We start from the raw sequence: 27,516 nt of genomic DNA, 5'->3' as shown, positions 1-27,516 counted from the left end.
GAGGAAGATGTGGGGGGATGGGGTGGTGAGTCACCTCTACAGGTGTCACCTGAGACCCCAAGGGATAATGTCTCAAAGTGACAGCAACTTATAGCTATGTACCCGTGTTATATAGTAGTTAGAGGTTAATCACCAGAAAAACCTCAAACAGAAAGTTCAGTTACTACAGGCCAATTCCAAAGCTTGTATTTTTTTTTTTTTTTTTTTTTTTTGGAGACAGACTCTGTCTCTGTCGCCCAGGCTGGAGTGCAGTGGCATGACCCCGGCTCACTGCAACCTCTGCCTCCCAGGTTCAAGCAATTCTCCTGCCCCCATCTTGGTTCACCACAGCCTCCCCATCCTTGCTCAGGTGATTCTCCCACATCAGCCTCCAGAGTCGCTGAGACTACAGGCATGCACAGACATGTCCTGCTAATTTTTGTATATTTTTTAGAGACGGTGTCTCACTATATTGCCCAGGCTGGCCTCGAACTCCTGAGCTCAAAAGATGGCACGCCTTGGCCTCCCAAAGTGCTGGAAGGTGGGAGCTGCCAGGTGTGAGCCACCGTGCCTGGCCTCTTGCTGTTTCATTATCCATTAGATGTGCAGTGTTATTATCTTGGTTCTGTCTGCTCCTGCCCTGTCTCTGAGTTGTTGCCTCACCACGTCACAGTCTTATGAGCTCTTTTTTTTTTTTTTCTTTTAGATGGAGTCTTGCTCCGTTGCCCAGGCTAGAGCACAGTGGCGCGATCTTGGCTCACCGCAACCTCCACCTCCCAGGTTCAAGCAATTCTCCTGTCTCAGCCTCCCGAGTAGCTGGGATTACAGGTGCCTGCCACCATGCCCGGCTAATTTTTGTATTTTTGTAGAGATGGGGTTTCACTGTGCTGGCCAGGCTGGTCTCGAACTCCTGACCTCAACTGATCCACCTGCCTCGGCCTCCCAAAATGCTGGGATTACAGGCGTGAGCCACTGTTATGAGCTCTTTTATGGGGAGATGGATCTGGGGACACCTGCTTTTCTGCCTTGGATTGAATTTCACCATATCTGTTTTTATACTTGTCCTTGTTTGTTTTTTCCTTTGCAGGTTGAATTAAAAAATCAGACTCCAACTGAGGATCACACATTGCATTTAGCAGAAATGTATCTTTAGTCTGCTTTAGTTGCCATAACAAAATACCATAGACTGATTGGCTTACACAATAGAGATTTATTTTCTTGTCCTTCTGGAGGCTGGAAAGTCCAAGATCGTGGTGTCAGCATGATCAGCTCCCAGTGAGGGCTCTCTTCCTGGCTTGCTGTCTTCTTCCTGTGACCCCCACAGGGGACAGAGAGAGAGAGAGAGAGAGAGAGAGAGAGAGAGAGAGAGGGAGAGAAGAGAAAGAAGAGAAGAGAGAGAAGAGAGAGAGACAGGAGAGAGAGAGAGAGAGAGAAGAGAAGAGAAGAGAGAGAAGAGAGAACACACTCAAGAATGCTTTCTGTGCTAAGTGTGGTGGCTCATACCTGTAATCCCTGCACTTTGGGAAGCTGAGGCAGGAGGATTGCTTGAATCCAGGAGTCAAGACCAGCCTGGGGAGCATAATGAGACCTTGTCTCTACAAAAAATAAATAAATTAACAAAATTAGCTGGGCATGGTGACACATGCCTGTAGTCCCAGCTACTTGGGAGGCTGAGGTGAGAGAATCACTTGAGCCCGGGAGGTCAAGGCTGCAGTGAGCTGAGATTGGGCCACTGTACTCTAGCCTGGGCAATGGAGGAAGATCGTGTCTCAAAAAAAAAAAAAAAAAGAAAAGAAAAGGAAAAGAAAAGAAAAACAGAAGTGCTTTCCGGTGTCTCTTATTATAAGAGTACTAATCCCCTCATGAAGGCCCCACCCTTTGACCTCATCTAACCCTATGACCTCCCAAAGGCTCTATCTCCAAATACCATCACACTGGGAGTTTGGTCTGCAATATAGAAATTTTGGGAGGATACTGTTTAGTCCATAGCAACCTTCTTTCTAGATTAAAGAAGACTTTTAAATTTTATTTTATTTATTTATTTATTTTTTGGTGCTTCATGACACTGACGTTTTTGCTTCCTTGTAGTGGCCCTGTGTATGCTTGCATATCTACCAAGCTGTTTACTTTCATTTTGCTCATGGTGTGTTTGGGCTGCTCTGGCTAGGCTATCTCTTCTGATGTTGGGCGGGAGATTTCTCTGACACTCACGTTGTTCTTGGGGGTATTTATCTTCCCCTATATACCAGCTTTGACGAGTTTTGGCTGCATGCATAAGAAAAAATATGCAAAACAAGGCAAATGTTTATTTCCCTCCTCTAAAAGAACCCTGAAGGGAATCAGCACAGTGTTGATATGACACTTTCAACAGCATCCGGGGCCAGCCTCTGACCTTTCTGCCCCATTCAGACCCACTTACTTCTCACTGCCAGGTGGTCCCGACCAGGCACGACTTCTCCGTGACTCTGGTTGGTCACACTTTTCTGGGGACATTTACAAGACGAGAGTTAGTGGGAAGAACCACAGTCTGGCTGCTGCCAATGCCCTGAGGCTGTACTTGATACTCATTATCTTCCTCCACCCTGAACCATCTAGACATTCTGCAAAACAGCATGTTGGCCACCATATAGAGGGCGTCACGTTAATCAGAGCAGATGCCGTGGTAAGACACATGCCATCCAGGGGACTGGAGATAAAGCCTACGGAGACTCAGGAGCCTCCACATGGACAGTTTAACCCATTCATCAGGTCACATGGAAGACTGCTGGTTTTGCGTTGGGCCAGGAGCAGAAAGAGCTCTCCAGCAGCCCAGGCTGCCACAAGAGCAGCTTCCTGCATGCACCCATGACTCAGCAGGTGCAATGGAACTAGAGGGGGCTGTGGTTGGGAAAGATGCTACTTCCCAGTACAGACCCCCTGGGTTCTGGAGAAAGTCTGTGCCTTACACAACAGAGAACTACAAACCATTCAAAAAGCAGCCCTGATGCGCTCCTGGACCCTGCTAGAAACTGTCTGATGGCTAGAACTTCCCAAGATGAGTTCATTCTGGCCGGACGCAGTGGCTCATGCCTGTAATCCCAGCACTTTGGGAGGCCGAGGCAGGTGAATCACTGAAGGTCAGTGGTCAGTGACCACTGAAGGTGGATCACTGAAGGATCACCAGCCTGGCCAAGATGGTGAAACTCCATCTCTACTAAACATGCAAGAATTAGCCAGGCGTGGTGGCAAGGTGCCTGTAATCCCAGCTACTTGGGAGGCTGAGACAGGAGAATCGCTTGAACCCAGGAGGAGGAGGTTGCAGTGAGCTGAGATCATGCCACTGCACTCTGGCCTGGGTGGCAGAGCAAGACTCCATCTCCAAAAAATAAATAAATAAATAAATAAATAAATAAATAAATAAATAAAAGAGCTGATTCTGCTGGACCCACCAAGTCTTCAGGTCAGGTGGACCCAACAGTAACCCACAGTGAGATGGAAGTGGTACATCTGCAGTACAGCATGGCAGGACCAGGGGGCGCAATGGGCTGCACAGCAGGTGGCTCAGACACCCGAGTCATCTGCTAGTATTGTACCAACACCTCTCCCTCAGCTACACCTATGGCCTCATAGTGGGAGGAGGGAGATGATGAGTATCACATCCAGCCTCAGGACATCTGCAGCAGCCAGGGTTCAGGTCTTGAATTCTATTGTGACAGAGAGCTGCACAATTCACATCGCTGTTGGGAAGACCATAAACGGATGCTGCTGTGCCCCCGGGGCAGCACAGGTGAAAGTTTTAGCCACTGCAGGGCTCGGACACTTCAGGGACTGTCAATATTCCACCTGCTGGGTCCTCACTACCATTCAGCCAGTGAGTCACCCTTAAGGAATTCCATCCTTGCGGTCTCCTTCATGGGATGGCTCTGGTTCCAGCTATCCTAGGTCAAGTTCCTATAAGCGGCACCTGCAATGGGGATTCTTGTAAAAGTAATTTATTACAGTGTGCATGCATTCAGCCGTTTCTTACATTGCTATAAAGAAATACCCGAGGCTGGGTAATTTGTAAGAAAAGAGGCTGATTTGTCTCCTAGTTCTGCAGGCTGTATAGGAAACATAGTGCCAGCATCTTCTGGTGAGGCCTCAGGAAGCAAAAGCGGAAGGCAAAGCGGGATCAGGTGTTTCACCAGGCAGGAGCGGGAGCAGGAGAGTGGGTGGGAGGTGCCGCACACTTTTAAACATCCAGATCTTGTGAGAACTCATGCACTATCATGAGAACAGCACCAAGAGGATGATGCTAAACTATTTCATGGGAAATCCACCTCCATGATCCAGTCACCTCCCACCAGGCCCCACCTCCAACACTGGAGATACATTTAAACGTATTTGGGTGGGACAAATATCCAAACTATATCAGCTTTCTTTTTTTTTTTTTTTTTTTTTTTTTTTGAGACGGAGTTTCGCTCTGTCGCCCAGGCTGGAGTGCAGTGGCGCGATCTCGACTCACTGCAAGCTCCGCCTCCCGGGTTCACGCCATTCTCCTGCCTCAGCCTCCCGTGTAGCTGAGACTACAGGCGCGCGCCACCATGCCCGGCTAATTTTTGTATTTTTAGTAGAGACGGGGTTTCACCGTGTTAGCCAGGATGGTCTCGATCTCCTGACCTCGTGATCCGCCCGTCTCGGCCTCCCAAAGTGCTGGGATTACAGGCGTGAGCCACCGCGCCCGGCCCAAACTATATCAGCTTTCTAAGGAGAAGAGAGTGAGGAAAATCGGAGAGGGCAAAGGAAAAAGGGTAAGCACGGCTGTGGTCTCGGGTGGGGTCCGTGTGGCTTCAGTCTGGTCCCATGGAAAGCTTGGAGCAAAAATTGCATCTGGGTTCATCCCACATCAAAGCAAGGGATGGGCATTTCACATTGTGAGTCTGTCATTCGCTGCTGACTTATCAGACAAGGCAGTACCTATTCTTCCAAGGCAATTGGCTGGAGAGAAGGTGGGCGTGAACTCTGGCAGTCAACACTCACGGGGCTCATGCTTCTTAGACAATCAGGAGATGTGTGCAGAGACAGAGAACAGCACTGTGTCAAGATGCCAATTGTGATGGTAAAATGGATCATAGAAAAGAAATCTCTGGCCGGGCACAGTGGCTCATGCCTGTAATCCCAGCACTTTGGGAGGCTGAGGCAGGCAGATCACCTGACGTTAGGAGTTTGAGACCAGCTTAGCCAACATGGTGAAACCCCATCTCTCCTAAAAATACAAAAATTAGCCAGACATGGTGGCACGTGCCTGTAATCCCAGCTACTCGGGAGGCTGAAGCAGGAGAATCACTTGAACTTGGGAGGTGGAGGCTGCAGTGAGCCGAGATCGTGCCATTGGACTCCAGCCTGGGCGACAGAGCAAAACTCCACCTAAAAAACAAAACAAAACAAAACAAAAAACCCTCCATGACTCTTCAGATGACCATACCCTAGATGAGTTCTCTTAAATGCAAGCATCAAAGAGTGAACAATATGCATCTGAGGACAAAAAGGAAATCTGGATCTTGCTCCTGTTGCCCAGGCTGGAGTGCAGTGGAGTGATCTTGGCTCACTGCAGCCTTGACTTCCCAGGCTCAAGCAGTCCCACCCCAGCCTTCCTAATAGCTGGGACTACAGGCTCGAGCCACCATGCCCAGCTACTTTTTGTAATTTTTGTAGAGACGGAGTTTTGTCATGTTGCCCAGTCTGGTCTCGAACTCCTGGGCTCAAGTGATCCACCCACCTCGGTCTCCCAAAGTGTCGGGATTACAGGCATGAGCCACCGCACCCGGCTGAATTATGGATTCTCATATCCATATTCAGTCCTTCAACAGGAAGAACTAGCAACACAACGTTTTGTGACAAGAAATGGGATACATTTTGTTAAAAGGATGCATGATAATATTTCTTCATCTTTTACGATGTTTGTGTACATACTTTACTTGATACATTCAGTAAGTGGATGATAAAGTTGGATACACGGGGGTGATTGGAAGGAAATAGATGATGAAGAAATGAAAACAATTCATTGGATTGACCATTTAATTGGGGTTTATAAATCTAACCATGACAATATTTCACAATTATGGAACAAAGAAGATGGCCATCCTCTCAACAAAATTATGAGTGTCAAAGTTTTCAAAAGTATTGGGTTTCACAGATTCAAAGAGAAGAGTGAGAAGTCATGATAAGCTAAAACCTACTAAAGATGTAGTTGAAATCTGGAAGCAGTTTTTACAAGATGGATATGTTCTAGATTCAACATACAAGACAGGGCATGAGCAGTAAGTGGAAAGCAAAGGACATTGCCTAGTCTTTTTTTTTTTTTTTTTTTTTTTTAACAGAGACAGGGTCTTGCTATGTTGCCTGGGCTGGTCTTGAACTCCTGGGATCAAGCAATCCTTCCACCTTGTCCTCCCAAAGTGCTGGGATTACAGATGTGAGTCATTGTATTCAGTCCATTCTTGGTATATATACTTTCTTTTTTGAGACAGAGTTTTGCTCTTGTTGCCTAGGCTACAGTGCAGTGGCGCGATCTTGACTCACTGCAACCTCCGCCTCCCGGGTTCAAGCAATTCTCCTGCCTCAGCCTCCCAAGTAGCTGGGATTACAGGTGCCCACCACCACACCCGGCTAATTTTTATTTTTAGTAGAGATGGGGTTTCACTGTGTTGGCCAGGCTGGTCTCAAACTCCTGACCTCAGATGATCCACCTGCCTTGGCCTCCCAAAGTGCTGGGATTATAGGTGTGAGCCACCACTCCTGGCCTCTTTCTTTTTTTTCTTTTTCTTTCTTTCTTTTTTTCTTTCTTTTTCTTTCTCTTTCTTTTCTCTTTTCTTTTTTTTCTTTCCTCTTCTCTTTTCTTCCCTCCCTCCCTCCCTTCCTTCCTTACTTCCTTCCCTCCTTCCTTCCTTCTTTCCTTCTTTCTTTCCTTTCTTTCTTTTTGACAGAATTTCACTCTTGTCACCCAGGGTGGAATGCAATGGCACAATCTCGGCTCACCACAAACTGCCTCCCGGGTTCAAGCGATTCTCCTGCCTCAGCCTCCCAAGTAGCTGGGATTATAGGCGCCCGCCACCACACCCGGCTAATTTTTGTATTTTTAGTAGAGGCAGGGTTTCACCACGTTGGCCAGGCTGGTCTCTAACTCCTGACCTCAGATGATCCGCCCGCCTCAGCCTCCCAAAGTCCTGGGATTACAGGCGTGAGCCACTGCACCCAGCCACCTCTTTCTTTTTTTTAAGACAGCGTTTCATTCTGTCACCCAGGCTGGAGTGCAGTGGCTCGATCTCAGCTGAGAACCTGTGCCTCTTCAGCTCAAGTGATCCTCTCATCTCAGCCCCCCAAGTATCTGGGACTACAGGAATGCACCATCATGCCCAGCTATTTTTTTTGTTTTGTTTTGTTTTGTTTTATTTGTAGAGATGGGGTTTTGCCATGTTGCCCAGGCTGGCCTCGAACTCCTGACCTCAAGGGATCCACCCACCTCGGCCTCCAAAGTGCTGGGATACAGGTGTGAGCCACCGTGCCCAGCCCTTTCTTGGTATATATACTTTCAAAACAGGAAAATTTGGGATTGAAATTTGGGTTTCCTACACTTACATTCTTATTATAATTTCTAATAAGGTTGTTTGTTATGATCCCTTTATTCTTCTGTAAATTATTATGAGGCTACTTAAAATATAAATAAAATTAAAAGGGTCCTTTGGACCCGAGGTAAATTATTATATAATTCTTTTTTCCAGTATACTAAAGGTTAACCCAGTATTGTTTGTAATAGCAAAAGACTGGAAACTTCTCAAAGGTCCATCAATAGGGCACTGGTTAAATAAATAAATATTGCTACCTTCTAGCAATGGAATATTATTTTGCTATAAAAACTGATTAGGAAAATATACATGTACTACTATGGAATAATTTCCAAAATATAAAGCGAAAGAAACAGGGTTCAGAACAGGATGTAAAACATGCAATCGTTTGTGTTATAAAAAAGGAGAAAAAGTATGATTTTGCTTGAATATGCATAAACTATTTCTGATAACATTGACTCTTTTCTGTAGAGGGTATCTGGGCGGCTAGCCACAGGCATGACAAAGAAATGTTTCAGCAAAAATCCCTTTTACTTACTGACATAGACTGACATAGACTAACATAGACTGGCATAGACTGACATGGACTGACATAGACTAACATAGACTGACATAGACTGACAGACTGGCGTAGACTGACGTAGACTGACATGGACTGACGTAGACTGACATGGACTGATGTAGACTGACGTAGACTGACGTGGACTGACGTAGACTGTTGTAGACTGACATGGACTGATGTAGACTGAAATGCACTGACATAGACTGACATAGACTGATGTAGATTGACGTGGACTGACATAGACTGACGTGGACTGACGTAGACTGACATAGACTGACATGGACTGACATAGACTGATGCAGACTGACGTAGACTGAAAGGAGAACTTAGAAAAGGACACGCTCAGCGTCGGGCACACCTCAGTCAAGGAGGCTCTGCTGACCACACTGTCCCTGTCTCAGTGACTTCCTACAACAAAGGTGATTTCTCACTGATGTTCCAGCTCCCTTGAGGGTCCACTGGGCGCTCTGCTCCACCCATTCTGGGACCCATGCTGACACCACAGCTGCCATCTTGAGAGACACTGGTTGCCATGGCCACTCTGAGAATCTTAGACATGTAATGAAATACATAATTTCATATTTTATATATTTTAATTGAAATATCTGTATATACAATATATATCTTGTATATCTATTTTATCTATTTTTTTTTTGAGACAGGGTCTTACTCTGTCCCCCAGGCTCAAGTGCAGTGGCATGATCATGGTTCACTGTAGCCTCAACTTCCCAGGCTTAAGCGAGTTCCCCATCTCAGCCTCCTGAGTAGCTATGACTACAGACATGTGCCACCACATACTGCTAGTTTTTTGTACTTTGTTTTATTTTTTGAGACAGAGTTTTGCTCTTGTCGCCCAGACTGGAGTGCAATGGCCGATCTCGGCTCACTGTAACCTCTGTCTCCTGGGTTCAAGCGATTCTCCTGCCTCAGCCTCCCGAGTAGCTGGGATTACAGATGCCTGCCACCACACCTAGCTAATGTTTGTATTTTTAGTACAGACAGGATTTCACCATGTTGGCCAGGCTGGTCTCGAACTCCTGACCTCAGGTGATCCAGCCACCTGGGCCTCCCAAAGTGCGGGATTACAGACATAAGCCACCGTGCCCGGCCTAAGGTAAAATTTACATGCAATGAAATGAACAAATTTGGGACAAATGCATATACCCATACACCTATGTAACCCAAACTTCTATCAAGATATAAAACATTGCTGTCACCGTGGAAGGTTCCCCTGTGCCCTTTCCCATCAATCCCCACCCCACACCATCCACAGAAGCAATCACTGTCTTGATTTCTTCACCACAGATCAGTGTAGCCTGTTTTAGAACTTCATATAAATGGAACTGTACATACGTATTCTTCTTTGTTAAGGCTTCTTTCATTTAGTACATTTTTGAGATTCATAACTTTTGTTGTGCACATTAGTAATTCATTCCTTTTTATTGTTAATATCCAATTTTGAGCATATGGTACAGTTTGTTTATCCATTCTCCTGTTAATAGGTCCTTGTGATGTTTACAGTTTGGGATTATTATGAAAAAAAGCTGCAATAGCCATTCTCATAAGTGTTTTCAGGAACGCTTGCTTTCATATTTATTTATTTATGTATTTCTTGCATCAAAGTCTCGATCTTTCACCAGGCTGGAGTGCAGTGGCACGACCTCAGCTCACTGCAAGCTCCGCCTCCTGGGTTCAAGTGATTCACCTGCCGCAGCCTCTCGAGTAGCTGGGACTACAGGCGTGTGCCACATGCCCAGCTAATTTTTGTATTTTTAGTAGCGACAGGGTTTCACCATGTTGGCCAGGATGGTCTGGATCTATTGACCTCGTGATCCACCTCCCTCAGCCTCCCAAAGTGCTGAGATTAGAGGCGTGAGCCACAGCGCCTGGCCTCATTTCTATTAAGTGTGGAGTTCTCTAGGAGTGGAATTGTGGGTTTAGAAGGCAGGTGTATGTTCAGTTTTTGTAAGAAATTGTTAGAACTTTTCCTAAAGTGTTGGTATCATATTACATACCAACCCACAGTATGTAAGAGTTCCAGTGGCCCCACTTCCTCACCATCTATTTGGTGTTGTCAAGTTTCAAATTTCAGCTGTTCTGGTGGGTGTGTAGTGGTATTTCACTACGGCTCTTTTGTAAACTTTTGCTTTATATATTTTGAGAGTATTTCATCGGTGCATTCAGTGATAGAACTGTTATTTCTTTTTTTTTTTTTTTGAGACAGAGTCTTGCTCTGTCGCCCTGGCCGGAGTGCAGTGGTGCGATCTCAGCTTACTGCAACCTCTGCTTCCTGGGGTTCAAGCAATTCTCCTGCCTCAGCCTACTGAGTAGCTGGGATTACAGGCACTCACCTCCACGCCTGGCTAATTTTTGTATTTTTTAGTAGTGGCCAGGCTGGTCTCGAACTCCTGACCTCAGGTGACCCACCCGCCTTGGCCTCCCAAAGTGCTTAGATTACAGGCGTGAGCCACCGTGCCCAGTCAGAACTTTTATTTCTGATGTGTTGAATTGTTCATCACATTGTGCTGATCCTCTTTATTCCTAATGACTTTTCTTGGTTTGTCAACAAAATAAACAGAGAGAGGCTCTCTCAAAGAAAAAGGTATCTGCGAACAGGGCATTGCAATGGGAATATGCATGTCATAGTGAGCTATGTGTGTACTTTAGGAAGGTAAAGGGAGAGAATAGCTTTTAAAGGAAAAGTGAGGAGGATTACATAATTGTTTTGAGATAATCAGCCTTGGCCATGAAGGTCAATAACAAGGCCGACGCCGGTCCAAGGTTGGACAGGCAGTTGCTGGGTAGATGTCCTTGTAGAAGTATTATTTGTGGAAGGTTGTGACGGCCTTTGTGCAGGTTGTGGTTTTTGCAGTCTTTTGTGATCGTTGACAGTCGTGATAGGACAAACAAGCATGAGAATGCTCTCTTCACAGCCTCACCTGGCTCTATTTCTCAGGGTTTTTTTTTGTTTGGTGTTTGCCTTTTAAAATACAAATGACTCCATTCTCATTCTGACAGCCTTCACGTTTCCGCCTCTGGTCAGCATCTCTCTCTGAAAGCATCGCTGGTCAGTCATCCTGTGGCTGGGTCTTGATTGTCCCTTGATACCAGGGTGGATCTGTCCTGGCTGCCAGTCTTGTCCCACACTGCAGGGAGTGATTGGGGACTAGGAGCCAGTGTCAAAACCTTCTAGCCACCTGTGAACAACGAGGGAGGTTCGAAGGGAGTGGCTGTCAGCTAAGTCTACTTAGAGTCCATTATTGAGTTCAATTTTGTCTGTTCCATAGTTTTTTTGCAATCATTTCAAAGCGCCAGGCCAGCATTATTCTGTTAGGAGTTGTACTTCTGTAAAATTTCTTTTTTTGAGACAGGGTCTTGCTCTGACACCCAGGCTGGACTGCGGTGGTACGATCATAGCTCTCTGCAACCTTGAACTCTTGGGCTCAAGGGATCCTCCTACCTTAGCCTCTTGAGTAGCTGGGACTACAGGTGCAGGCCACTGTGCCTGGCTAAATTTTTCAGTTTTTTTTGTAGAGACAGGGTATCACTTTGTTGCCCAGGCTGGTCTCAAACTCCTGGTCTCAAGTGATCCTCCTACCTCAGCCTCCCAAAGTGTTGGGATTACAGGCGTGAGCCACTGTGCCCGACCAGAATATCTTTTTTATCCTGTGAGAGAATGTCAGGAGTTTGGATTGGTGTTTTAGATGGTGGCAACTGCCCTAGTGGCTTTTAATTAGACATCCTGAGCCCACTATTTAAAACGTGGAAGGTGTTTAGAAAAAAACCCAGGGAAACGAGTGAAACCAAATCACAGGACACCAAGAGATGAGTGTTCACAAAATTTTAACCCAGGCATGCAGATCAAATTACACGCTCAGACCAAAAGTGAATTCACCAGAAATGACATGCCTCACAGATAGAATGTGAATTCAATAGAAACCAGAATACTCAAGCTAGAGACCTCTGTCTTTATACCAGAAAGGACTTACCAGAAAAGTCAGTCTTTTATCATCTCAGGAGGGATGTAAGGTTCTTTATTAAGGTGGCCTTATAACCAAACCTGATCTTGAATATCAAAAAGCCTCTACCAAAAAAAAAAAAAAAAGAAAAGAAAAAAAAATAGGCCAGGCACAGTGGCTCACGCCTGTAATCCCACCACTTTGGGAGGCCAAGGCGGGCAGATCACGAGGTCAGGAGATCGAGACCATCCTGGCTAACATGGTGAAACCCCGTGTCTACTAAAAATACAAAAAATTAGCCGGATGTGGCAGCGTGCGCCTGTCGTCCCAGCTACTCTGGAGGCTGAGGCAGGAGAACGGGGTGAATCCAGGAGACGGAGCTTGCAGTGAGCCGGGATTGCGCCACTGCACTCCAGCCTGGGCTACAGAGCAAGACTCCGTCTCAAAAAAAAAAAAAAGGAAAAAAAGAAAAAAGAAAAGAAAAACAAAGCCTCCACCAAAAACAGGGAGGGCTGGCCTGAGAGAAGACTCACCAGGGACAAAAATTTGAGCCATGGAAGCCTACAGCGCAAAGGGCTCATGCATACTGGCCAAAAAAGAGTATTTTTTTCTGATAGTCATCTTTCTTTAGGTCCCATTTCTGACCCCATTTATGTCAATTAAATGAGAGAGACGAGCTCTCTAAAAGAAAGATATGTATTCAGGAATAGGGCATTGCAATGGGAATACACGTCATTGTGAGCTGTGTGTGTACTTTAGGGAGGTAAAGGGAGAGAATTTTTTTTTTTTTTTTGAGATGGAGTCTCACTCTGTCGCCCAGGCTGGAGCACAGTAGCACGATCTCGGCTCACTGCAACATCCACCTCCCAGGTTCAAGCGATTCTCCTGCCTCAGCCGAGTAGCTGGGATTACAGGCATGCACCACCCCACCTGGCTAAGTTTTTGTATTTTTAGTAGAGATGAGGTTTCGCCACATTGGTCAGGCTGGTCTCAAACTCCCAACCTCAGGTGATCCACCCTCCTCGGCCTCCCAAAGTGCTGTTATTACAGGCGTGAGCCACCACGCGTGGCCGAGAATGGTTTTTAAAGGATAAATGAAGATTACATAACTGTTTTGAGATTACCACCTGTGGCTACAAAGATCCATAACAAGGGCGATGCAAGTCCACAGCTGGACAGGCTGTTGCTGGGTAGATGTCCTTGAAGTATTTTTTGCATAAGGCTGTGATGCTTTTTGTGCAAGGCTGTGGTTTTTGCAATCTTTTGTGATAATTTCGTTATTGGGCATACCAGCATGAGACCCTTCACCATCGCAAGACTGCAAACCCTACTCTATTTGTTCGGGTTGTTTTTTTGTTTCTTGAACACAAGTGACTCCGCTTTGATTGACAACTTTCACACTTTATTAAAATCTACTTTTTTCTGAGATTCAAAGAGCTACATTTTTGGTTAGTGTATGTCTACTATACCTTTTTTCATCCTTTCAACATCTTTTGTCACATTTTAGGTGATGCTCTTGTAAACAGTGTATTGCTAGACCTAAAAATCCAAGCTTACAACTTGTCCTTTACCTGATACATTTATTCCATTTACTTTCATTTGGATTTTTAAAAATGTTAACTTAATACGTCTCTTTCAGATGTCCCTGCTTTTTAGTTAATTGTGTTTTCTACTCTCCTAAAGACTTGATTTTTATTTTTTAGTTAACTGACCGTTTTTAAAGAGGTTTTAGGCTCATAGCAAAATTGGGTGGAATTTCCCCTACTGCCCCAGCCAGGCATTGCTTCTGACTGCAGCATTAGGCTTCCAGTGGGATTGAGTGCTGCACATAAGGGTCTCCACCCCCAGCAGATATGGAAAGGCAATCCCCTAGTTTTACAGTAAGGCCTGGGACAGAATCCAAATTTGATCCCAACACCCAAGTGAATCCTCCTCCTCTTAAAAAGAAATAATTGACTGCATAACCGAACTGCAGGGTCAACTCAGATCCTACCATTCACCTGGAGGTCCTGACATTGCACCTCCCAGTCTAGGTCCCAAGAAAAGAACTCTGTAGCTTCTATTCTCATATCCCAGCACACACAAGTCCTTAAAATTTCTGGCCATAAAAACCACAGAAATTTGATTCCCAGAAAAAAACTGTTTGGCTAGACCAGACAGGTGGACATAAACACCCTGAGCTCCCAACCTATTAACAAAGGCTCACAGGGTCACTCTGGTGCACAAACCTACAATGAGACTACCTGCAAGTCATTTGCTGTCACCCCACTTATGGAATGTCACTATGAATCAAGATCTGTACTGGGGACAGAGATGACCAAAGTGACTCCCTGTCCCCTTGGGGTCACACAGCACATGCAACGAAAGTGCAACACTGTTTCTGGTACTAAGACTGCTCTGGCTTTGTAGTAGTCAGGGAGGCTGAAATTTGAACCATCAAAAAGATGATGCAGGAACAAGGTCAACTTTGCATTTGCTGGTTACTCCGGAATACTGGTAGGTCAAGCTGTAGCAATTAAGAAAATAGCTGGTTAGATAAGGATTGTCTGCAGACTTGTCAAATAAATTTAAAATACATGAAGGGTTATTTTGTTAGATAAGTGACCTTGGTACAACAGTACCTATGCCTCAGGACCACGATGAGGACTGACTGAGCTAACAAAATGCAAAAGGTTCAAACTCACTTATCTGCTTTTTGCAGATGGCCAGCTTTCACTTCTGCCATCTCCAGGCCAAAGGCATAAAGTCAGTGCTTGGTACACTGGAACAAACAGCTTGGGGCTCAATTTTGATACCCCTCCCTTCTCAAGCGGGAAGCGGTGGATTAGAGACCTCCTTGCCCATCTCTAAACTTTAGGACCCACACTAAAAATTTTTAAGTCAATTTCAGAATGCACTTGTTTAGAAAGCAAACCTCCCCATTCCCTCATTCTTAACTAGAGATATATACAATTATTCACAGTTACATAGCTGTATGTATGTTCCCTATTAAGCACCTGCCAAGATTTCAAGTAATAAAACTGAGGCAGATGCTCAGTTCACAGACAAGACTAGCAAATAAAGCCAGTGACCCAATGAAATGAACAACTTTTGTGAGTGGGGCTGGCAAGTGTAACTGCAGGATACATCCAACACAAATCCAAAGCAACGGCTACAAAACAGGGCAGATTCCAATGCTTTGATCTCATTATAAAATGAAAACTTGTTAACTTTAATATTAAAGCAAAGACAAAATACAATTTTATCATTATTTTAATCAAGTAACTTAGCTGTTTAAACAAATCCTTAAGACAGTTCAATAGAGCAAAGTGAAGAATTACTCTATTAGGATAACCTGTGAACAAAGTTCAGATTATGTGAATTTGTATTCCATTCGAAGTTTGGCACCAGACTGAACACTGGTTTAAGCCAAATTTTTTAGTGTTCTAGAAGCCCTGAACATGTTTTCCCTCAGATTAAAAGTAGAACCTTTATAATAGAACCTCATTAGCTTGACACTGAGTATGCTGAGTGCAACTTAGCTTAGGTCACCAGTATCTCCTACAGAATTCCAGTTAATGAAAGCAGATCAGCCTTGCGGCAAAGAATTTGAAACCTAGGCAACATACAAGTTTGAAGAAAAAAAAATCCTCTTTGGTGTGACAAAGCACATTCCCTCCAGGTATATGGCTCCTGCTCCACTTGCACCCGAATCTTGATCAAAGGCAGCTGGAGACCAATTCTTGTCTCTCCAATAAGATTGCTAGGTTTCAATTCCTTAAAATATCAAGCCAACCAAGTTTTATTACATCAAATGTTTCTATCATTTCAATGTGAAAATTTTTTTACGCCTATTTGTTATTAAGGTCTCATTATCTGTGAAATAATCACAAAAAAACAGAGGTGAATGGTATAAGCCACTGCTCCAAAATTAACCCTATCGATTCTCGATTCCCACTGTGCACTTTGTGAAAAGGGTAACTGCCAAGAGGTTTAACCTTGAAGATGATTACTCAAACAGTCAGAACCCATAATATGAGTTTAGATCAGGCAAGGAGTTCATGAGGAAGTTATCAACTCTTGTGTGTCCAAATCTAAAGCCCTGCATGGGCTCTGTCAGGTCCTTGTCACCTGCACTCAGGTGGCCATCAGACTTCTTGGGTGCCTGGCTATATTCAATGTGAAGTAAAAAATATCCCAAGTCTTACACCAAAATAGAGGCTCTGACTTAGAAGTATGCTTTTAGCTTTCTTTTTAAATAAGACATTCTGGAAGAAAAAAAAAAGAAAAAGGAAAGAAAATCAAGTTTGAAACACAGTTAACACTTATTTTGGCAAGAAAGCAACCAAAATCTAAAAAGCATAAACTATGTGTCCAAATGTAAAAGGCATTACAGAACAAACTGCAAGAGGGGAAAATTAAAGCCACACTGAACGAAAAAATACAGTATGTCTAACATTTTGGAATTGTAATTTAAACCCTAAGGGCAAAAGCTGAAAAATCATGCTTAGGTTGCTAGTTAAGTGCACCCTTCCTTGTTTCTCCCAAATAAAATCAGTTTATTAATTGCACCCCAAAGCAAGTTCTCTCAGTACAAAGTAACTACTACGTACACACAAAATGCTTGTTAATGTAATAATTTCCCTGGCTCATCCAACGTGCAATGCACACGACTTCAAAGACAATTTGGGGCAAGTGTACATGAAATGAGAAAACAGCTCTCCAAGTTTCAAATCCTGCTCTTACATTATTTATAGGACACTGAGGTCATATTTACTTCTTGGTTAAGATGTTACACTGTCATTTCATTATCAGTCTACCTCACAATGTACATTACCAGATGCCAATTTGAGGAACTACAGAGATAAAACTTTAGTACTTTCTTAATGGGCTGAATAAATTAATTACAATTAAGTTTGCTTTACATCCTGTTGAGGACCTCTTTGCAGCCCCAGGACCTAACAATATCTGGCAGGCTCCAAGAATGCTCATCAGGTGAAATGATGGCAGAACATTTAAAGTAAGGAGCCAGTTACTTCAGCTTAAGTCATTCAGAGCCAAACATCTGAAGAACGACCAAAATCAAACCTTTATTTTTATAACTGTATAAATGTGATCCAAATGTGTCCACCACTAGTTTTTCAAAAAGAAACATGCTATAAATAAGCAAACTACATCTGCTCACTGATGTGTATGGACTCCCTAGATGTCTCATTGGGCTTAATAACAGACCACTCACAGTAATAGATTTTTAGTGTAAAGTGTAGCATGATGTTAAGCCATTTTAGCTTTTGCACATACATGTTGCACTTCTGGCTGATAATGGAGGAAAATTTGCAGCATTATACTGTTAAGCTAGGTTGCATCCATCCCTTTAAATGGCATCAATATCGATGTCGTCATCCTTGTTGTCTGACTTTACAGTCTCAACTTTCGGTACACTGGCAGCCTTCGAATACACCACCTGTTAAGAGGAATGATTTTATTCAACATAAGCTGATAAATCTGTTTATAAAACAAATCAATGTAAATTGTGGTCACAGAGGAGGAAACTGCCTAGATGCAGCTATTTCTTCTTCACGGAACAGCTCTGTTATGCAAACACTGCAAGTTCTCTTACACAGGCTCCAGTCTAAGAGCATTTTTAAAGTTTTTTTATAGACTATAATGTGTAGGAGTAGGAACACAGTTTCCATCACCCTTTCTATTATTTTCCAAATTATTGAGAGGCTGTATTTTACTGCATCTTAAATTCTAAACCTGAAATTACCCCAAACTGCCATTATATCACTCCTCACAAACCTTTTTAAATCTCAAACACCCATGCCAGCACTGTATCCAATACCCTCCTCCCCCAATGTTTACCTCAATGTTCTCATCTTCATCTTCTTCTTCGCCACCAGAAGATTCTTCCTCTGCCTCCTTCAACCATTTTATAAATGGTTCTGCTTTGACACGAATCTCTTTGGCAAGTTCTTTGGAGACATATTTCTTAGAGGCCTAAAAAATGTGAGTACAAGTCTCTTAGTTGAGGAATTTTAACAACTTTTGATTATTTATACAATCCCCCTTACTGAGCTGAGGGGACTGGGTCCTAACAAGTCTGAATCCTCAAACAGAATCAATGTACTCAGTGAACACGTTAGTCTCAGCAGTCTGTTATGACTACAAATCTGACATGATGCGAATCACAATCTACAGCACAGGCACTGAACTTTAGCTATAGATATTAAGACATTTTTTCTTCATCTCAAAGCCGTCTCAATACTTGTGAACGGCTGGGCGCAGGAGCTCACACCTGTAACCTCAGCACTTTGGGAGGCCAGTGGATCACCTGAGGTCAGGTGTTCGAGACCAACCTGGCCAACATGGTAAAACCCCATCTACTAAAAATACAAAAATTAGCTGGGCATGATCGCAGGTGCCTGTAATCCCAGCTACTTGGGAGGCTGAGGCAGGAGAATCACTTGAAGCCGGGACGTGGAGGTTTCAGGGAGCTGAGATCATACCACTGTACTCCTGCCTGGACAACAGAATGAGACTCCGTCTCCAAAAACAATCAACCAAACAAAAAAACCCCCCAAAACCTGTGAACTTTAAGAGCCCACCTATGTATTCCCCACCTTTTCCGACCAGCTGATGATGACCTCTTCTTCTAAAAGGTCTGCATCGTACATCTCCTTCAAGATATGTGGAATCTTGGAGATAAGCTGAGCTTGATGCATTGCTACCACACACTCCAAACCATGAAGAAGGTACCGTTGGGCTTTTTTGTTGTTGTGACAAAACTGCAAATAGACACCTTGGTGTTAACAATCTTTTTTATGTGTTCTAAGTTGACAACTCTATTACCCAAATAAGAGTGTCTGCAAGTGCATGGCCCATACCATAGTTGTTCAAAAAGGTCAATGCATAAACATCCCTGTTACTTTGTAAGGGCCTAGGTATGGCACTTTCAGATACTCAGAGGCTTGTAAGGTGGGTCAATTTCCCCACTTTCAAGCATGACAGGACAAGCAAAAGTGGTTAATATGACCATCTCGAAAGCCACACAACTGTAATCTCATTTATGAATCCAGAGCACTTTGCTTACTCGTAGGAAATGGCGCCTGTATTTCTTAATCTGTTCTCTAATCTTCTCATTAAAAAGAACTTCAGTTAGAACAAGAGGGCCCATGGCTTTTACATCCAGTCTTTCTGCTTCAGCAACGATTTCTTTGTCAGATGAATCAATAACACCCTCTTCTTTCTTTTTCTGCAAAGAAAAGGAAAACAATTCAGTGCAATGGAGGCACACTTTGCCAGGCTCAAGACACCAGCCAGTCCCTGCTCTGATGAACATATTTTTCCTGCCTAATTTGGCAGTTGTGACACATAGTGCCTGGAATCACGCGCAAAAAATATTTAAATGAACAAGAGTTCTAAAAAGTCGTGCATTAGAGTAATCCTAATTACACTGCTAAAGTATCATATATCTAAAGGCACAAACAAGGCTGGGTTGAAGCTGATTTACAGACCAAGCAAATGTTTTACCTTAACAAAATCAAAGAGGATATTGACCCTCTCCTCAATTGTTCTTTCCAAATCATCACTGAGTGTCAGAACTTTTGCATGGTCACTGATTTCATCCATTCGACGCCTTTGAGCTTCCTCAGTTGTATCTTCTCCCCAGTCATCATCCTCCTCTTCTTCCTGTTTATGAAAACAGAGCTACTTGATCAAAGGCCTTAAAAACAACAACAAAAAGGTTCAGATTTTGCCAAGTTAATGGCATCAAGTCCATCTCCATCCAAAATTGGGTTCACCTTAATTCAAACAACAAACAGTACTTGGAATCCACAATATTAGTGTATTACACACTGAAGGCTAGTTTCAACATTTCCACCCACCTCAACCAAATGCCATATACTTTACACAACTTTAGTGCCCACTAGGCCATCAACCCTGCACTCACCATTGTATGTGGAGGAGGATTAATTTCATTTGGTGGTGGTGGTGGTGGTGGTGTCTCACTGCTGGATACGGAGCCATTTTCCTTGTCTTTGCCCTTTCTGTTTTTCTTTTCTTTTTCTTTCTTTCCTGTACCACTGTCACTATTCTCTACAGAAAAAAAGGGAAATAAAAATTTAACCCCATAACTTACATTACCTCATTGCCCATCATTAACGTTTAAAACCCTGCCCTTATTTTCCTATGGATCCCCTCAGAAAAACCACACAGCACACACAATGCTACCTAAGAGGCTTCACAGATCAAATTCATCATGTATTTCATACGTAAGAATGTTAGTCTAAGAATGGAGTGACACAAAATATTAGGGGTATTGTAACTGCTAAGAAAGAGTAAGATGAAGTGATGATGCCTCCACTAGGGAGAGGTGGCCCTAAGGATCCCTGTCATCCCTCATGAACAAAGTCATTAACTCAACCCAGCTTTAGCCAACAGGTGGAACACTGTTTAAGTCTATATAACGGCTTGTCTCATGGGAGAGAGAACACCGGAATAGGTTAGACTTTCTTGCTATAGCAAGCTCAAATTGTGTCAGACAGTTTTGATCATCTGCCACAGAGTGTTGCTTGCAATATTCAAGTTTAATGAAGGGGGCCCTCTTTACCAAACAATGCCAGTAAAAGAAACTTTGCTGGGTTTCCAGCAGAATTTTAGTCATTACTTCATCTACCCTCAGATAATGTCTTAATTGATATGGCACAGTTTAATTGGCAGCCTATTTTTCACCTTTAATGGTAATTAACAATACACTTTTGAAAGATGTCTTAGATTTGATAAAATATAGTACAAGGACTAAAAGGTTCCTTATATTGTTTTTTTGAGACAGAGTCGCTGTTGCCCAAGCTGGAGTGCAGTGGCACGATCTCAGCTCAGTGCAACCTCTGCCTCCAAGGTTCAAGCGACGCTCATGCCTCAGCTACCGGAGTAGCTGGGATTACAGGAGCACACCACCATGCTAAGCTAGTTTTTGTGTTTTTAGTAGACGGGTTTCACTATGTTGGCCAGGCTGGTCTTGAACTCCTGGCCTCAAGTGATGTGCCCGCCCTGGCCTCCCAAAATGCGGGGAATACAAGCATGAGCCACCGTGCCCAGTCTCCCTTACATTCCTATTACAAAAAAACCTTCTATTTTGTTCCCAACAGTTAGTAACTTATCTTAGGATCTTAGGAGTTCATCATGGAAGACTCACCAGGTGGGTTTTTGAGAATGAATGTGCAGAGTTTATGATGTGTGTCAAGCATGCCTCGATAGCCACAGGCTTTACAAGAATTACCTATTGTTTGCTTCTTTGGATTGACATGCTGCCAAAAAAATAACAAATGTTATCCATAATATAACATGAAAATATCTAATCAGAGGACATCTAAACCACAGACAGCTTCACATGCAAAGAAAACTTTTTTCACACAGTGACCTACTTTAAAAAAAAGAATGGAAATATCTCGAAAACTGGAGTTTTGTGTTTGATTTAAAATTACATTTGCTCTGCCTTCTCAGGAAGGTGACTTAGCGGTATCACAGAAGCAGGTATATGGCTTTTTCTTTCGACAACCACAAAAGCACTTACCAAATCTGTTTCAGGATTCTCACATTCAGGACAGAGAACAAATTTTTTAATGAATCCATCCAACATGTCTTGCAGCTTATTCGCCTCATGAGATCCATTGACAATGTAACGGTCATTCTTAACATCAAACTGGGTCTGTGCTCCCAGCTCACAACCAAAATATTTGGTGGGATCTATTTGAATGAAAAAGGAGTTTGGATCGTTACAGTTAACTAGATCTCTGGCTACTCACTCACATTTGTACGAACACCACTTTTTTTTTTTTTTTGAGACAAGAGTCTCACTCTGTCACCCAGGCTGGAGTGCAACGGCGTGGTCTCAGCTCACTGCAACCTCCGTTTCCGGGGTTCAAGCGATTCTCCCCCTTCAGCCTCCCAAGTAGCTGGGACTACAAGCGCATGCCACCACGCCTGGCTAATTTTTGTATTAGTAGTAGACTCAGGATTTCACTATGTTGGCTAGGCTGGTCTAGAACTCCTGACCTCGCGATCCGCTTGCCTCAGCCTTCCAAAGTGCTGGGGGTTACAGGTGTGAGCCAACGCGCCCAGCCATCCACTCTTTAAATGCGTTCCCCTGGTAGTTTTGTAAACTCATGGCAACCAATAAACCACGGTTCCTCACTTAACTTGTAAGGTAATTAGCTAGCATACAATTAGAACAAGTTTTGCAGCTCAAAGACTTTGAAGACTCTATCCATAATATGCCCTGTGGACTTTTCCAAGCTTTACTTACACGTTGGAGGCCGATTAAGCGCCTTTGCAACGTCAACCATGTTGACTATAACTGTCTTGATTCCATTGCCTTTGCCCTCAACCTAAAGGAAATAAGAATTTTAGTTGTGCAGTTTCCCCTGACAAATGCAAACTTCAAAATTCTACAAAAAGAGCTATCAACTAAATTGAAGAGCAGTTTATTACCTTGGCAATCAGACGGGGCATCTTGTAGCGATAGAACTGGTCTGACACGCTGCGGTTGACATTGACAGACATTTTGGCTTATTAGTGGCTTTATCAATAAGATGAAGAGATCTTTGATTGCAACTTTTTGGTATCTTCTGTCTGGAGAAGAAGGGATGACATAAACGACTGCAAGAGTTCTCGGTCTCTGACATGAAAAAATTTTCGCCACTGAGGCTGTAAGCTTCTTGCTTGTATGCTATGTTTCCCCAATACAGGTACCAATGGCTGCGCAACAGCTCTGAAAGAAAAAGGGAAAGAACACACAAAAATCCCCCCAGGTTTAACATCATCGCTGGATGGAAACGCCTCCTTTTTACATCCTAGTTATGCTTCTGCTTAACTCCACCTTAAAAAGCATCTGAGATCACATGCAAACAGCCATTCTCATGTAACACAGTACAATCTGCGGGAACATAAAAAGGCCTCCATTTCGACTAAGCTGTGACTGGTAGGGAAATGCCTGACAAGAAAACACAAGCTGTGCTGCCTCAGCCGCCGTGAGATTCCATCAGACCGAGGGCAATCAGCAGGTTTGCCTCTGCGGCCATCCTGGAAGTGCTGAAGAACGAACCCGAGCCCTCTCCGCCGCCCACCCCGCCTGGATAAGCAAACTTCTCAGGCACACCCCCGTTCGTCTTCATTTTTAAGGGCAACCTAGGGAACTGTTCTCTACAACTAATCGTTGCTTCGGCAACCATGGCTTACTTCAAAGCAGCACTTCCTTAAACGCAGCGCTCGCCCACAATTTGCCATTAAGCAAGAGAGCGCGAGCGAACGCCAGGCTCGCCCCGGCCTCCCTTTTCCTCGCTATTCAAATACTCGGTTAACCTTCGCCCTGGTCCCCATGGCTACCGCGCTCCGAGGCGTTTCCGCGGGGGCTGGCGAACCGGGCAGCTCCGCGAAGGAGGGGGGCGCGCGACCGGGGCGTCTGGCCCCATCCCCAGCGCGTCCCCCGAGAGCCGGCGGCCCCGGAGGGTGCACAGCCGGGAAGCGACACACGGCCGAGGGGTGCCGGGATCGGGCCGCCCCCGCCCCAGAGCGCGCGATGACTCACAAATGCAGCAGCTGAAGCCTGAGTCAGCCCGAGCGGCGGGCACGCGCGACGCGCTCCCGCCATGCCGGGGAGGGGGCGAGGCCGGGCCGGGGAGCGCGCGGGGAGGGGGCGGCCGGCGCCCGGGCCCGCGCCCGCCCGCCGTCCGCCCAAACTGCGCCACACGCCGCGGCGGGGTCACGCGGCGGCCGCCGCCATCTTGTGCGGCCGCCATCTCCTGGCCCGCCGCGCCCGCGACTCACCGTTTTCGTCAAATAAAGACATAAACCCAACGCTGCTCGCCCGGGACTGGGATGAAGTGAGGCGCGATATAAACCCGAGTCCGAGTCCGAGGAGGCGGAGGCGAAGCGCAGCGAGGAGCGGCCGGGCCAGGTGCCGCCGCCGAGCAGCGGGGAGGGGCTGTCCCAGCGACGTCCGCGGTCCACACCCGTCAGCGCCGGAGCTGGGCGACCTGGCGCGGAGAGACGGCGCCGTGAGCCGTGGGCGGTCGGGGAGTGCACCTTCCCCGCCAGCCAGCGGCCCGAGGGGTCGAGGGGGCGGGAAGCACCGGGCAGGGGGCCGCCCCTTCACCGGACTCACCTCTGGAATGTTCTCGCTCTGACTGAACAACGCCGCCGCCGCGCTCAAGCTACCCTCGGCCCCAGCGTCCGCCCCCCGCGTCAGGCCTCACTGCCCATTGGCTGGAGGCCTGCCACAGCTCGCTCGTCATTGGTTCGCTTGCGACGTCAATCGCATCTTTCCGCGCCCCTTCTGCTTCCTGAGGCTCAACTCGCGGCCTCGGCCCGCCTCCAGCCCCGGTCTCGCTTCCTTCCTCTCCCCTCCCCCCGCCTTTCCCAGAGGTCTTCGCGGCGCAGCCCTTGGGTCTCGCGAGACCCGGAGTGGCCCTGGTGGCGGGGCCGGGGTACCGGGGGCCGTTCTTTGTCGGTTTGGGCCTTGAGGGGGAGATGGTGGTTGGTCCCCTCCCTCGCCGGGTCTGGGACAGGCCGCGGCGTCATGGCGACTCCCGGGACGCAGGAGCCATCGTCCTCGAAACTGCTTTCGAGGCCGTGTTTTTGCGGCTGCCACCTTCGGGGAGAGGAACCCGACCGCGTTCTCCCCGCAGCGGGCGCTCATCTCCCTTTCCCGTTCTCCCGGGACGCCCGACTCCGGGCCTCGAGGAATGAGTTGTTTTTCCACCTTAAGCCCCAGGCCTGGGTCTTTCATCCCAGGGACGTCTTCTGTTTCGGACTCGGGGTGGATTGGCCGCTGGCGGAACGAGTCCGTGACTCGCCAGTGACCGCCCAGGGCGGTCGCGAGGCCGCGCCGCCTCGGTGTCGGCCCGCAACCCAGCCTGCGCGCTTAGCTCAGCGCGTCGCCTCCCGTTTTCGGAAGAGGAGGCCCTTAATTGGTTTGGAATCCTGGGGCCTCCTGAAGGCGCTTCGTGGTGGGTTCCCACCTTCTGGTGAAGGCCTCCCTGCTCTCCCAGGGTTGAAAAGCGCTATCCTTCGTGCTTCTCTTGTCACCTTTCTCCTAGTGGGCATCACGTCGAGTCCACCCCCTCTAGTTTATGACTTGTGAATTCTTTGATAAGCAAATCGTAGCCCAGAGCAGGCATTTATAATGAGATTCCAATGTATTCCGTTGAAAATTACTATTATTTAGGCCGGTCGCGGTGGCTCACGTCTGTAATCCCAGCACTTTGGGAGGCTGAGGTGGGCGGATCACCTGAGGTCGGGAATTTGAGACCAGCCTGGCCAATATGGTGGAACCCTGTCTCTACTAAAAATACAAAAAATTAGCTGGGCGTGGTGGCTCGCTTGTAATCCCAGCTACTCGGGAGGCTGAGGCAGGAGAATCCTTGAACCCGGGAGGCACAGGTTACAGTGAGCCGAGATCACACCACTGCACTCCAGCCTGGACAACAGAGCGAGACTGTCTCCAAAAAAAAAAAAAAAGAAAATTTTTATTATTTAGAGAGAGGCTCTCATATTTTAGTTCTGTTGAAACTCTCCCATTCTTTCTGAAACTTGGATTTTTTTTGTGAAAACTTGAGTCTTAAAAACACATCCATAGTTCACCCTGAAGTTTGAAGACCTCACTTGACTGATGGAGCGAGAGCCCCGCTAACCTGCACTCTGGTCTCTAAGGTGCAGTCATCGAGAAGTCCTGAGCGGCCGTGCAGGTTTCCCGATCTGGAAAAGAGAAATGTTGCTGAGGACAGGATGAGGTAGATAAGGGGCTGCCCTTTGTTTTGGACCAGTTGCATTTGCACTGAGGTTAGAATTGGCAGCTATGTTGATTTTTATATCAAAATCCAAGATCGTGCTTCCATAACTAAAAGCTTTATAAACAACTTAAAAATTGGCAGTGTTGGTAGGAAGAAATAAAGGCACAATCCAGAATTGAGAGGTGATTTGTGTCCTTTAGGGCAGGGACTTTTATAATCCCGCAGTGTGTACCTTGGTGTATAGTTGTTAAGCCAAGTGCACAGTGCCTTGTGAGTACCAGGGTTCCCATCAGACAAACTAGAAAAGGGGATCCCAGACATGCTGCTGCTGTTTCACTGTGGAGCATGACTTAGCAGTATTGAAACAGATCTGACTTTTTGCTTGGCAGCACAAAAATGATGTTATTTTAGAAACTCTGTTGGAAAGTATAGGCATGAAACTAGTCTGAGGTGAGAGGCCTGCCTTTTCAGAAAAGTTTTAATGAAACACGAAGTAATTAGCTTTTTTGTATGTTTAGTGGCACAATTTTTAATTTCGTTGAAGTTTGTAATAATTTTAACTGCTTTTTAATATGTGTACCACTCATTTGTATGCAACCATGGACAACTTAAAAAAATACTTTTGTGTTCTTTTTCTCCCTTTTATTTTTAGTTAATACATAATAACACATTTGTGGGATACAAAGTGATATTTCAGTACATGTATACAACGTGTAATGATCAAAGCACAGTAATCAGCATATCCATCACCTCAGATGTTTATCATTTCTTTGTGTTGGGAACATTCAGAATTCTCTCTTCTAGCTTTTTGAAAATATACAATAGATTGTTGTTAAGTATATTTACCTTGAAATACTACAGAGCACTAGAACTTATTGAGCTGCAATTTTGTATCAACCTCTCCCTCTCCTCTCCTCCCACTAGCCTTCCCAGCTTCTAATAAACCACAATTCAAGTCTCTACTTCCATGAACTCGAATTTTTTTTTAGCTCCCACATATGAATGAGAATATGTGGTATTTATCTTTCTGTGCCTGACTTATTTCACTTAATATGATACTGTCCTCCAGTCTCAGCCATGTTGCTTCAGATAAAAGGATTTCATTATTTTTTTATGACTGAATAGTGTTCCAGTATATGTAAAACTTTTTTTTTTTGAGACGGAGTCTCACTGTATCACCCAGGCTGGAGTGCAAGTGGTCTGATCTCAGTTCACTGCAACCTCCGGCTCCCAGGTTCAGGCGATTCTCCTGCCTCAGCCTCCCAAGTGGCTGGGACAACAGGTGCGTGCCATCAAGCCCGGCTAATTTTTTTTTTTTTTTTTTAGTAGAGACAGGGTTTCACTGTATTGGACAGGCTGGTCTGTCTTGAACTCCTGTGTGATCCACCTGCCTTGGCCTCCCAAAGTCCTGGGAGTACAGGCGTGAGCCACCACGCCCAGCCTATAACACATTTTCTTTATCCTTTTTTTTTTTTTTTAAATAATAAGATGGCGCGGGAGGGGTGGGGGGGGGGCTCACTATGTTGCCTAGGCTGGTCTCGAACTCCTGGCCTCAAGCAGTCCTCCCACCTCGGCATCCTGAAGTGCTGGGATTACAGGCATGAGCCACTGCAACCAGCCTGTCCATTCATTTGTTGGTGGACGCTTAAGTTGATTCCATA

At 45.4% G+C, this 27,516-nt stretch overlaps 1 protein-coding gene, 1 long non-coding RNA gene and 1 other non-coding gene across 4 annotated transcripts, besides 5 other annotated features; 1 reads left to right on the top strand and 2 right to left on the bottom strand.

Annotated features, from left to right (window-relative positions):
- Positions 3,663 to 3,957: a silencer, noted in NCBI's record as "tiled region #8941; HepG2 Repressive non-DNase unmatched - State 12:CtcfO, and K562 Repressive non-DNase unmatched - State 13:Ctcf". NCBI's record gives its function as "represses a minimal TATA promoter and a strong SV40 promoter by Sharpr-MPRA in HepG2 and K562 cells {active_cell/tissue: HepG2 | K562}" and the evidence as "EXISTENCE:reporter gene assay evidence [ECO:0000049][PMID:27701403]".
- On the bottom strand, positions 13,464 to 24,252 carry EIF5 (eukaryotic translation initiation factor 5). 2 transcript variants are annotated; one of them, NM_001969.5, is made up of 12 exons: positions 24,229 to 24,252; positions 23,892 to 24,100; positions 22,557 to 22,836; positions 22,372 to 22,453; positions 21,640 to 21,812; positions 21,262 to 21,373; positions 20,017 to 20,162; positions 19,596 to 19,754; positions 19,156 to 19,317; positions 18,686 to 18,850; positions 17,928 to 18,062; positions 13,464 to 17,526 (listed from the first exon to the last, which is right to left on the bottom strand). In NM_001969.5, the coding sequence occupies exons 3-12, from the start codon at positions 22,626 to 22,628 to the stop codon at positions 17,437 to 17,439; spliced, it is 1,296 nt and encodes a 431-aa protein (NP_001960.2). In that variant the 5' UTR covers positions 22,629 to 22,836; positions 23,892 to 24,100; positions 24,229 to 24,252; the 3' UTR covers positions 13,464 to 17,436. The 2 variants fall into 2 exon arrangements, with proteins under 2 accessions (NP_001960.2, NP_892116.2); NM_183004.5 differs by lacking the exons at positions 23,892 to 24,100; positions 24,229 to 24,252 and adding an exon at positions 23,304 to 23,601.
- On the bottom strand, positions 20,515 to 20,640 carry SNORA28 (small nucleolar RNA, H/ACA box 28). The gene has a single exon (NR_002964.1). It is a non-coding gene; the product is annotated as a small nucleolar RNA, H/ACA box 28 (small nucleolar RNA).
- Positions 23,397 to 23,636: a silencer, noted in NCBI's record as "silent region_6150". NCBI's record gives its function as "represses an Ori minimal core promoter by ATAC-STARR-seq in GM12878 lymphoblastoid cells {active_cell/tissue: GM12878}" and the evidence as "EXISTENCE:reporter gene assay evidence [ECO:0000049][PMID:35858748]".
- Positions 23,747 to 23,796: a silencer, noted in NCBI's record as "silent region_6149". NCBI's record gives its function as "represses an Ori minimal core promoter by ATAC-STARR-seq in GM12878 lymphoblastoid cells {active_cell/tissue: GM12878}" and the evidence as "EXISTENCE:reporter gene assay evidence [ECO:0000049][PMID:35858748]".
- EIF5-DT (EIF5 divergent transcript) lies at positions 23,829 to 26,817 on the top strand. The gene has a single exon (NR_158216.2). It is a non-coding gene; the product is annotated as an EIF5 divergent transcript (long non-coding RNA).
- Positions 23,937 to 24,356: a silencer, noted in NCBI's record as "silent region_6148". NCBI's record gives its function as "represses an Ori minimal core promoter by ATAC-STARR-seq in GM12878 lymphoblastoid cells {active_cell/tissue: GM12878}" and the evidence as "EXISTENCE:reporter gene assay evidence [ECO:0000049][PMID:35858748]".
- Positions 24,677 to 24,796: an enhancer, noted in NCBI's record as "active region_9101". NCBI's record gives its function as "activates an Ori minimal core promoter by ATAC-STARR-seq in GM12878 lymphoblastoid cells {active_cell/tissue: GM12878}" and the evidence as "EXISTENCE:reporter gene assay evidence [ECO:0000049][PMID:35858748]".
- Positions 26,818 to 27,516: the final 699 nt, after the last annotated feature.

This window comes from Homo sapiens, chromosome 14, assembly GCF_000001405.40.
Source record: "Homo sapiens chromosome 14, GRCh38.p14 Primary Assembly".
NCBI lineage: Eukaryota > Metazoa > Chordata > Mammalia > Primates > Hominidae > Homo > Homo sapiens.
This window is presented reverse-complemented; position numbering and strand designations above follow the sequence as displayed.